Here is a 12,293-nt window from a genome sequence, read left to right on the forward strand (position 1 = left end):
GATTATTATTTTGCCATGTGCTGATTTGCACCTGACGTGAGATTATTGTTGCAAGGAGCAAACCTTCCAAAAGAAAAAGTTATTTCAGTGCTGCCAACATTCCCAGTCTCCCTAACGAAGCAATCAGCTTTCAGAATTTGGCACTGCAACTCCCTGAACACACTGTCACCCCCAAATTCTCTTAAACTATATGACTGTCCACAGTTGTAGAGCTCAGAATGGGAAGTACTGAAGTATGTTAGGAAGGTTCTCAATGGACAGCACTGGAAATGAGATCTTTCTGGAATATATTTAGGTAAGGTAAGTGAGTTTTCCTGATAACTTGTCTCCAAATATTCTGAAGAACATGAGTTTTGAGGGTTTTTTTTTTAATTTAATTAGGAGAAGAACGCTAATACAACACAAGAGAGTTTAGTAAGTGGGACAAAGTTCAAAATGAGGAAAGAGAAGAAAAAATGAGTAAGTTCCTTTAGTAAAAAGTATTACTATAACAACTCATTCCTCATAGACCTCTTGAGTGCAATTTTACTCCTCTTGTCTAGAAACATCTCTAAAAGTAATGTTATCAGAGGGCAATTCTTTAGGCTGACAGCATTTTACATATTTCATATTGAAATTGATTGGTCTTTCTACCTTAGCAAAACATTTGTAGAAGAAAGTTGACAAGGAAGAAACAGAAGAGAGGATGTGAAATAATTCATAAATATTCACAATCTATCCGTTAAATTTCCTACAGTCCCTCAATTTTCCCAGCTTCATCCACTTTTCATTTCCTGAGTCAAGAAAAGATTGAAGTCTTCGAAATGAGGGAAAGTATAATGATAGAAAAACATAGACCCAGAATTAAGACTAAAATTAAAGACAGTAGTGAACTACACCTAATAGAAAGGAGCCCTTAGCCCCACAAATGGTATAATGAACTTGAGCTCACTTTTAGGATTGAAAAGGGTGCATATTTTTTCTATGTGTTGTCAAACCCCACCATAAACTCACACAGGGTTTACTTTGCATGGCTATAGTGCAAAGTCATGTTTAAGTTCTTCATCTCAACGTTCTCCATTTACATGAAAGGATTTGGCAATGGTTGTAATTACTAGAGTGTCCCAAATAAGATGGGTCACTGACAAGGCTTGGCTGCAGCTTTGGGATGCTCCAACTTTCATTATAAATTCCTTTAAACTCTTCATAATGGGGGGTGTATTTATATAAGAGGCCTACAAATAATTGTTTTTTAATTAATTTTTTTTGAGACAGTGTCTCACTCTGCTGCCCAGGCTGGAGTGCAGTGGCAGGATCATGGCTCATTACAGACTCAAACTCCTAGGCTCAAGTGATCCTCCTGCCCTAGCCTCCTAAGTAGCTTGAACTACAGGCACACACCACCATGCTGAGCTAACTTGTTGTATTTTTGTAGAGACAAGGTCTTGCTATGCTACCCATGCTGTTCTCGAACTCCTAGGCTCAAGCTGTCTTCCTGCCTGGGCCTCCAAAATGCTGGGATTACAGGCCTGAGCCACCACACCTGGCCTAAATAATTATTTAAAGCTTACCATCAAGCCTATACAGACAACTGTGGAACATTTTGACTCAGACTTTATTTCTACCTGATTGGCAAATAGAACACTTTCAGTGGAAATGAGGGGACAGGAGTAGAAAAGAAATAGCTCCCTGATCTCCTGTCCCTGGTGCTTCTGTCCCCACCATTACAATTAGCACAGAGCTGGTCACCTCTGTATCTAGTAGTATGCTGTTAAGTGTTTAACAACCATCTCTCCCAAAATAAAACAGCCTTGATCTGTAGCATTTGACAATTTCTTGGTCTACATATTCCCAACATGGCCAATTTCAAGCTCCCGACATGGTATCACTGAACATGGAGTTGATAAAAGGTATGCAGTCAGCTCTGGTCAACCATCATGAACACTCCAGCACACCACTGACAGTGTCTTCTTTGGAAACAGGGAGAATGAGGATGACAGTGAATATAAAGATAAGAAGGCCAAATTGTTAGCCACCACAATGCTTGCTGTTATCATTTTGCAACCATGCTTACACAAATGCAACCTTCATGTATTACGGAATGAAACCTTTAACACCTAGATAATGCCTACATAGTGCATAATGAAAGTTCACAGGAATAGAAATTCATTTCAGTAGCTCACGTTTATATTTGCATCTTTTGTTAGCATGCTATAAATTATCTATTATGAAAAAGTGTTGACAGCTATATGAGATCAAGATAGAGTATGTTCTATCTATCATCCTAAAAGAGAGAAATTTCCAGTTCTTGATGTGAGCTGATGTTTCGTCTCTCATAACATAGTTAATACATGAATGCAAAAGATCACATAACAGAATTCACTGTAAGAATAATTAGTGAAAAAAGTATTAAATATCTACTATTGACTTCTTTTACAACTACAACTGCAATACAAAAAGTCCATCCCTTGTTAAACAAATACAATTGTAACACAAAAAGTTCAGAGCGCCTGAACACTTCACCTGATACCCTTCACCTAATAGTGACAGTTCTCCTGTCCTGTTGAAGAAAGCAAGTCTAATCCTGAACAAAACTGAGATATTGCAACTTTCAGACAATTCATGTTCAATTACCACTGAGTGTCATGATGTGTCTTCTCCAGGAGCAAAGAGTTCCCTTTACATGACTCAGAGATCAATTTCCTATGCCAAATAGGAGAAGTAAAATTGTTCATGAAAGCATATTCACTGAACCGCTCATCTGATCTGAAAATGCATGTTCCTCTCTTGGTTTAAAAAGTAAAAGGCATAGAAAATTTATTTTTGTGAAGTGACAACACTACGTGACATTTTAATAATTCTAATGCTAGCATCGAAGAAGCCTAATCAGTGTAGATCAATGCGTCATTAATGGTTTTATTCCACTCTTCAGATCTTTCTGTCAATGCTATAGTATCTAGCCACATATGGTTATTCAAATTTAAATCAGCTAAAATTAAATAAAATTTAAAATATATTTCTTAGTCTCACTAGACACATTTCAAACACTCAGTAGCCACATGTGATGAGTGGCTACCATAGTGGACAAATGCAGGTATAGAACGTTTCAGTCATCACAGAAAGTTCTATTGGACAGCACTGACTAAGGTACTCAGACATCATTACACCAGCAAACCAGAAAATGAAGGGAAGAGAAAAACATTGAAACTGCCATTTGCCTTAACCCATTGCTATGTTCTTATAGAAATGAGTTTGGTCCAGGAGCGTCTTTTGAATTGTTGGATGATAGGGCACCTTAATCTGAAACCCATTATCCTTGAGTGAACATGCAACCTTTCTCTTGCATATATAATTATAATAGGGAGGACTGGAAAAAGCATTTATTAAGTTTATGCTTAACATAATAATTCCCAAGCATCATATGTGCCCACAGGAGAAATAAAATCTGGCTGCCCAAAAATGATTCCTTCCTCTTATTTTTCAATTCTCCTTGACCCTAATATAATAGAAATCTTTACAATAAGCAGTGTTTTAGTCCCTGGGAGGAAAGCCCTCAATCCCTTTGCAGCCCAGATGTTTCTCTGCTGAATCCTGACTCTACCAGCTGGATGTTAAAGCAAGTTCAGAGAGCCTCCTCTCTTGGGTCTATTAATGAAGCAGAATTTTCCTTCTTTGACAGGCAAGGGCTAATTATTATCCTTGAGTAAAAAAAAATTCACTCGCTGCCCCCTGAAAAAAAAGCAAAATTCATATTTAAAGCCAGCAGTTTCCAAATTAAATTTCACAGAACCTCAGATTGATTAATTTCCAAATCTAGTTGCTGAAGCAACAACTCTGTCCTCAGGCATAATCCGTGCTTTTTCAATATAGTGGTTATCACAGTAATAGAGGTATCAGCAAAACTAATGTTATGGAGGCTAAAACATAATGTTTTGTAATTATATATCTGCCTGTCAGAGGTGCCTTGGGTTGAATAATCTCTTGATGATAGAAAATAGATTTGACGGCACACAAAATAGCGGAAAATATCTTGCATGCACCTGCCTGATTGTTCTAGATAAGCTAAGCAGAAAACAACACATAGCAGTCTATCTTTTTTTGCTGCTGTTGTTCTGTTTGTTTGTTTTTTTGAGACCAAGTCTCACTCTGTCACTCAGACTGGAGTGCAGTGGCGTGATCTCAACTCACTACAGCCTCTACCTCACTGCAACCTCCGCCTCCCAGGTTCAAGCAATTCTCCTGCCTCAGCCTCCTGAGTAGCTGGGACTACAAGCACATGCCACCACACCTGGCTAATAAAACAACACGTAGCCATCTATCTTGACACATAGGGTTAGAAAATGACATTTCTTTAAAAAACAAACAAACAAAAAACTACACAAAAGTACTATTGTCTCATATAAAAAGCCTCGTCAGATTTATTTTTCTGCTCATCTTTTTTCTATTTTTCTATCTTATGTCACTACCACCCAGTCATTTTTCACTGATTCTCTTTTTTTGACAGTCACTCATTTGCCCTTATCTAGAGGCTAGGCAGCATCACAGCCAGAATCTGAAAATGCCGGTTCACAATGAGATTTCCAAAAAAATATTTCTCCCAATCTCAAAAGGTTCTATCCAAGATATTATCATGAATGTGTCAGCCATTTAAAAAATTAGATTAGGAAGAATTTCACAATAGTTCATTGTTTACTTTAGTTGAACTGGTGGGGGAACCACGGGGGATTTGAGTCATACTTTCTTTTAATATTTTCTTTTTTCTTTTCCTGTGTTAACTTTTGTATCTCACATTTCTTAGTTATTTTCCTCTGCTTCCTTTTTCTAATTTAATGCTATTTGTTCTCATAGAATTAGGGGAGCTGAGCACTTTCTAAGGAAATCCTAGAATGCAGAGTTAATTTTATACTTATTACTACATTTTCACCGCAAAAAAAATCATGAGCACACATTGTAGGGTACATTTTTAAGAACAATTCGATTTTCTCCCTGAATATCATTTGCCTGGGCACCCTGAATGCAGTTCACTCGCCTGTGAGAGTTTGCAGGTTGGTAGTTGATATGGTTTGGCTGTGGCCCCACCCAAATCTCATCTTGAATTGTAGCTTCCTTAATTCCCATGTGTTGTGGGAGGGACCCAGTGGGAGACATGTGAATCATGGGGGCGGTTTCCCCCATACTGTTCTTGTGATAGTGAATAAGTCTCACGAGATCTGATGATTTTATAAGGGATTTCCCCTTTCTTTTCGCTCTCATTCCCTCTTGTCTGCTGCCATGTGTCTTGTGTCTTTCACCATGATTGTGAGGCCTCCCCTGCCGCGTGGAACTGTGAGTCCATTAAACCTCTTTTTCTTTATAAGTTACCCAGTCTCGGGTATGTCTTTATCAGCAGTGTGAAAACGGACTAATAAAGTAGTGAAATGAGGTTTTTTCACCTCATGGAAAATAGACATTGTATGACCCATCAGTTTCCTGTTATTTTAACCTTCACTAGGGTCATGAAAAAACTCAGAGCAAGTTGTATTTCTTCTCTCCTACTTGCTCTGTCATCTGTAGAAATTAGCTGAGGTAAAGAGGCACCTTCTTCTCATTAATCATTGTAAGTTAAGGAATAATTTTATTGCTGTGAATGTTTTGGGCCGCATGCCCATTTCAAAGTTGAAGATGTTAAGCCGACCCATTTTCTCATAAGATGTATGTTTCTGCATCTTCAACCAATATTCCTTGGTCTGCTAAAATACATTAGAAAGTAGGAAAGATAAATAGACTCACATAGCTGTTTTGAGGCAGCAGATTGAACCATAAGGCATATAGAAGTTATAGTTTTATGTCTGCTTATACCATAATAAATAACTTCAAAAATAGACAAATTCTTTGCAAAATAAAACTGTAGGATAAACCAGAAGGCTAGAAACACAAAATACTGAATGATCAAGTCAAAATAGAATCCTCACTTTGCTTAGTGACCAAACCTGATTCAGAATAAAGCAATTATGCAAGGTATAAGAACATCAGGTGAAAATGCCTCTAAATAAATAAAACGCAGCATTTGTTTCACAAATATTTGAAATTTCAATATAATAGAACACAAATTAAAATGGCTTCATTACAGAAATTATAGCCTTAAGTTTGCCTTTTTGTAAAAAAAAAAAAGAATAATTATATTCTATCTTTAAATAGATTGTAAACACCACAAGCAGGGTGTGTGTGTGTGTGTGTGTGTGTGTGTTATTCACTAATGTATGTCCGGCATATAGAAGGTGTACAATAAATAGTTGTTGGATAGATTTTATAAAAGAGTTTCCTGTATATAATCTCATATGATTTCACCTGATCCAGCAGTCTTAATGTATAGTAGACACTAGTCATATGTATTAGCCCATAGGCACAGACTAAAGAGTGCAGTACCCATCTGTGTCTGTCTACTTGATAGACACCAAATCTCTCAGTATTCATTGGATGGTGATGCCTTCTGCAAAGATTTGGTCAGACTCAATTCAGCCCCCTCCATTCACTACCGCAACACCATATTTTATTTTATTTTTACTTATTTATTTTTGTTTCTATTTTTTTAGAGACAGGGTCTTACTCTGTCACCCAGGTTGGAGTGCAGTGGCACCATCATAGCTCACTGCCATCTCGAACTCCTGAGCTCAAGCCTCAGGCCTCCCAGAGTGTGAGCCACCACTCTCAGCTCATACTTTATTTTCTTAATAATTTTTACAATTAGAAGAAATTATATTATTCAGCTACACATTTACTCGTTTATTGTTTCTCCCATCCCACTAAAATGTAACTTCCATGAACAAAGGGTCCTTGTCTGTCTTAGACCCTAAGGAAGTACCTCATACCCAGTAGACACTGCAAGATTTCTATGTATAAATGAATCAGTGGGTCAGCCATCTACTTGGAATTATTTGTCTGGATTATCTTTTGTTCAATTATTCTCTCTCTTTGCATACTTTACTTGAGTGGCACAACTGTTTGTCTGTTTTTGTTTGTATGCTTGTGGCTTTTCTTTTTCTCTCTTTCCTCCCCCGTGATGTGGATTTCCTCCTTGGTGCACGGGTGAGGCACCCTCGAAGACCTAGCAGGATCATGGTAGAATCTAAGAAAAAACAACCGTGAATTCAATGGCTTAAGCTAGCTCTTCTCTATTATCTCAAAAAAGGTATGTTGTTTCTACCTTGTATTCATCTTCATGTTTCCTCTAATCTCATCAGAGAGGTAAGACCACAGGAGTCAAGAATAAGGAAATATGTGCCACATTTTCTTTATCCAGTCTATCATTGATGGATATTTGGGTTGGTTCCAAGTCTTTGCTGTTGTGAATAGTACCCCAATAAACACATATGTGCATGTGTCTTTATAGAATGATATATAATCCTTTGGGCATATAGCCAGTAATGGGATTACCAGGTCAAATGGTATTTCTAGTTCTAGATCCTTGAGGAATCCCCACACTGTCTTCCGCAATGGTTGAACTAATTTACACTCCTACCAACAGTGTAAAAGCATTCCTATTTCTCCACATACACCATGGAATACTGTACAGCCATAAAAAAGGATGAGTTCATACCCTTTGCAGGAACATGGATGAATCTGGAAACCATCATTCTCAGCAAACTAACACAAGAACAGAAAACCAAACACCGCCATGTTCTCACTTACAAGTGGGAGTTGAACAATGAGAACACATGGACACAGGGAGGGGAACATCACACACCAAGGCCTGTGGGGGGATGGGGGGCAAGGGGAGGGAGAGCATTAGGAGAAATACCTAATGTAGGGGACGGGTTGATGGGTGCAGCAAACCACCACAGCACGTGTATACCTATGTAAAAAAACTGCACGAAATAAGGAGGCCAGTGGGCACATCTAAGCCTTCAGCTAGGCAAGAAAATGACCTTTGGAGTCTCACATTCATTCTGTTCCTTCTGTTTACCATAATAAGATACAGCACAGGGTTGTTTTTTTTTTTTTTTTTTTTTTTTGAGTCGGAGTCTCGCTCTCTTGCCCAGGCTGCAGTGCAGTAGCACAATCTCAGCTCACTGCAACCTCCACCTCCCAGGTTCAAGCAATTCTCCTGCCTCAGACTCCCAAAGAGCTGGGATTATGGGCACATGCCACCATGCCCAGCTATTTTTTTGTATTTTTAGTAGAGATGGGATTTCACCATATTGGCCAGGCTGGTCTTGAACTCCTGGTCTCAAGCGATCTGCCCTCCTTGGCCTCCCAAAGTACCGGGATTACAGGTGTGAGCCACTGTGCCCAGCCAACACAGGGTAACACGGTCAAATCCTCAGCAGGCAATACTAGCATGTACGTTTGCCTTAACTGTCCTTTGCATCACAGTTATTCCTTGGCAACCCATGTGACAAAAAGCAGCTGGCAAGTTATTCAAATCTCTGCATTACACAGTCACCTATCAAAACTAACAGCACAGACATTACAGATGAGGAAACAGCCTCAGAGTAGTCATGAGACAGGACTGCTCTTCCCCCTACATCCTGTTTCAATTACTTTTCACTCACTGAGAATGTGAAAAATAAAATGAATGTTGTAATACACATTTTCATTATTATTTATTCCTTGGTTGGGTGGCAAACTGTTAAGGTAAATTGATTGTAAGACCACCAGGCAATGCTAAAGACATAAACCAGCCTTAACATTTAAATAATAGGAACATCCTATGACCACTTCGACTCATTGATTTGTCATGTTCACTTATTGCTTCTTTTTCTCCTTCCAGGCAATTTTCTGGAAAGACTGAAAAGTTTTTGTTCTCATTTTCTTCAATATGGCAGTAATCCTAAATCTTAAAGCAATAAAAATAGCCATTATAAATTCAAGGAAAGAGTTGGAATATTTTTTTATAAAAATCTGACTATGTCCTCTCACTCAAGTCACTTAAGGAGTTATTTGTACAGCTCCTGCTGCTATTCAAAGTAGCCAGAGCTCTAATTCAAGTAATATCCTTTCTTCTTCAATTCCGCATACTTCCTCACCCCTGTGGGTCAGCACTTTGTTCAGTATTTGTGACTGGATTACTGGTCTTTCCCCAACAACCACTATTTTTCTTCCATTTCTGGGTTTCTTCTCTTCTCACGTTATGAAAGCCATACTTTTGTACTTAGCTTTTACACTTTCGAGAACATTCGGTCTTTAAAAGCAAGAACACTGTCTTAGCTATCTTTTGATCTCCAACAGTGATTGTCTTTACAAATGGAAGCAATGGTGAATATGCAATGATTATCCTTTCCTCTTTGCTCCACTCATCCCCAATAATTTAATATGTTTGTGATAATTAGATTTGCATTGAAAATGGAAATTTAGAGAAAACTTTAGGCTAATAATGGACATTGTCCTCTAATTGGACATTAGCTGTAACAAGTCTAGGCTAGATCCTAAGGAATTAACCAAACACCCTAAGCACTTTCATCTTCAATCCTATTACATTTAAATGGGTATCTAGGTCTTTTGAAATTTTAATCACCTAGAAAGCTGCTGTTAGTTTCCTAGAGCCTGCTGGGTGAAATTATTATCCCACAGCATTTGTACTGCAAGTCCTAGACACTCTTGGAGAAATAGCACCACATAACTTTCTCTTCCCTTACAGTCAAAAGTGGTAAAATCTCCAAAGAGATGACTCAAAGCCTGGTCAAGGAACTATATCAGTAAACACAGTAATCACATGAGTTTGTCAAGATGAAAAATTGGCTCCTTATGTGAAACCAAACAGCTTTTTTTTCTGTGTCACCATTCCAGGCGAAAAAGAGAATGATAGCTTTGTACAGGGTGGGTAGAGAGGGTCTTGTTCTGGGTTCTGATATATAGGCTTAAAATTTAAGGGGAGGAATTTAGTTTTGGCAGGAAAAAGTTCTCAACTGTAACAGTTATTTGACACTGGAATGTAATATAAAAGAAAATCACAGGTTGCTTCCATAAGATTTTAGATTTTTAAATGTTGTACTGAATCCTCTGAGGGCTACTAGGAGCAAAGAAATAGCATCTTAAAGAAGAGACCTGTGATTCTATAAATGTATTTAAATATAATGAAGAGTTTGCTAACACTAGTGATTTTCAAAGAGTGGAACAAGTAATTGGAAAAGTAAAGAATATCATTCTAAAGGTTTAAACACAAAAAGATGTATACTTCAATTAGACATGGTTTCTAAAATTAATTCAGTATTCAAAAATGTAATCCCAAACGTAAGTATCTCTGGAGTCAACAACATCAATTAACACTTTACACTCACAGAATACCTGGCACTAAGTAAAACATTCCCAAAATAAAGTGTTTGCCCTCTCTGCATTCACATTCGGCACGGGATGGTACAACCTGAATATTACAAAGAGTCAGTCTGAATCCATTTTAAAGTTTGAATTATAAATCAGTTGTAGAGTCAGAATTATACAACTTTAGGGGAGAAACATGAGTCACCACGGTTGTAAATCAGAATTATACAACTTCTGGGGAGAAACATTGGTCACTATCTCATAAAACTAAGATTCTTTTTTTCTCATTTTTGTTTTTTAAATAGCTGTCTTCTTTTTAAGAAGAAAAAAAACCATACACTCATTAACTTTCTCAATATCTGTCATGGTCACATTTTAAGAGATGGAGAAAAACAATCCAAATCATTTAGCGTACCACAAGTGAATTAATCCACCTTTCTCAGAGATAGTTGGGATATTTTCATCCCAGTGTTACTAATCAATTACAAAGCCTACTCTGGAGAGGAAAGACTCTAATTTAAATGCAAGCAGCATGTGAAGCTCTTCTTTTTTATTATTATTTCAAGTAAATTGTTTCATTAAAAACCTCAGGAAGGAGATGGCTTCCTGTGCTTGTACAGAGAAAAGTGCCCGGGACAGATAAATAAGTCAGCAGAGCCCAAATTAACTTGCTTCATTATCTCATCCACTCACCTACACAGAAGAATCTACCTTTCTGGATCTCTCCCTTCCTCCGCGCTCTCTCCCCACGTCATTGCTTCCCATCCGGGAGAAAAGACTAGAGAACAAGTTTCAGTTCACTCTCTCTGAACACTTCCCTGGAGACGGCTCTAACTTTGACTATTATGCACTTCAAATGTTATGCAGCAGCAGCTGCCGGGCATCACGTCGGGGCAATATTTAAATATTATGCCTACCAGCTGTGTTTTCTTAAATAGTACCTTTAAACGTCAGTGGCTGTGTTTGTGATAGACTCTACAAGGCATGGAATATGCATTGCAAAATCATTTTCTCCTCTAGAGATTTAACAGTTCCAAAAATGTCTTTACATCGGTAAGAAAAGTTTGCCTTTCTTCAACGCTTCCCCCCTTATATAACTGAGTTAATGAGTGTTCCTTGCTTGCAGCTATCTTTCCAAAGGCAGGCACCAAATATGAAAAAACATTCATCAGTGAAACTTTAAGCAAGAGAATAAGCCAATGCATTGAAACCTGGGTAATGGGTTCCGGATGACTGAAGTTGAACAAGAGTCGCAGTCAGGACTGGGGGCCATTATGATAACTATAAATAGAAGTAAGGTTAGCGCTACTGGCTCTTTGATCATTTTTCAGTCTATAGCTCACAAACTCCTGTCGTTAAAAATTCTAAGAATTACTATGCAATTGAGCAGGCAATGAATGTTTTTTAATACACAGGTTTTTTTTGTAGAATGTGTATACCTGAACCACTCTTTTTAGGTAATCCTGGAAACTGTATGCAAAAAAAAAATTTTAAACCGAAATTAGAAAATATTATCACAAAATAGTGGCTCGTGTACAGGATTCTCTGAATCCAAATGATCCCAAACCACATCACAAAACAGTTAAATTAGTGTAAAAATTTATGTAGGAAGACAGATTGTTATTTCCACACTGTAATAGACAGAGTGACTCATTCCCCTAAGGGTAAGCATGCATCCTGCTACATTTTTCAAATGTTATAAAGGTAACTTATCTCTAGTCCATATTGTCTCCAAAAGTAACAGTCAGGGTAGCAATACTGCAGATAAGCAAGAATAGGACAATTGGACAAGACCAGGGGCTTAAGTCTTGTCACCTGTTATCTAGAATTGGTCTGGCTTTGACGTATTAAATTCTCATTCTACCACATCTTTTAATTTCTAGGTCTACTGCCTCCTCTATTTTCTTGGATCCTTTTCAAACCCATCCTGCCTTCATATTCTATACTAATTACTTAGATTCTATTATCCATCATGCATCACTTTGTTCACACTTTGTCAATATTTTCAACTTTTTTGAGCCAGTGTTCTTCCTTCTCTCCAAAGTTTCTATTACTTGTTAAATTAGAGAGATACTAGA

General features: G+C 37.7%; 1 long non-coding RNA gene across 1 annotated transcript in view; it reads right to left on the minus strand.

Annotated features, from left to right (window-relative positions):
- LOC101929028 (uncharacterized) overlaps positions 1-10,995 on the minus strand; it is a 382,849-nt gene extending 371,854 nt beyond the window's left edge. Inside the window, exon 1 of the long non-coding RNA XR_007061175.1 lies at positions 10,909-10,995. This is a non-coding gene — a long non-coding RNA (uncharacterized LOC101929028). The remainder of the gene's footprint in view (positions 1-10,908) is intronic.
- Between the last annotated feature and the right edge of the window lie 1,298 nt (positions 10,996-12,293).

This window comes from Homo sapiens, chromosome 8 (assembly GCF_000001405.40).
Source record: "Homo sapiens chromosome 8, GRCh38.p14 Primary Assembly".
Taxonomy (NCBI): domain Eukaryota; kingdom Metazoa; phylum Chordata; class Mammalia; order Primates; family Hominidae; genus Homo; species Homo sapiens.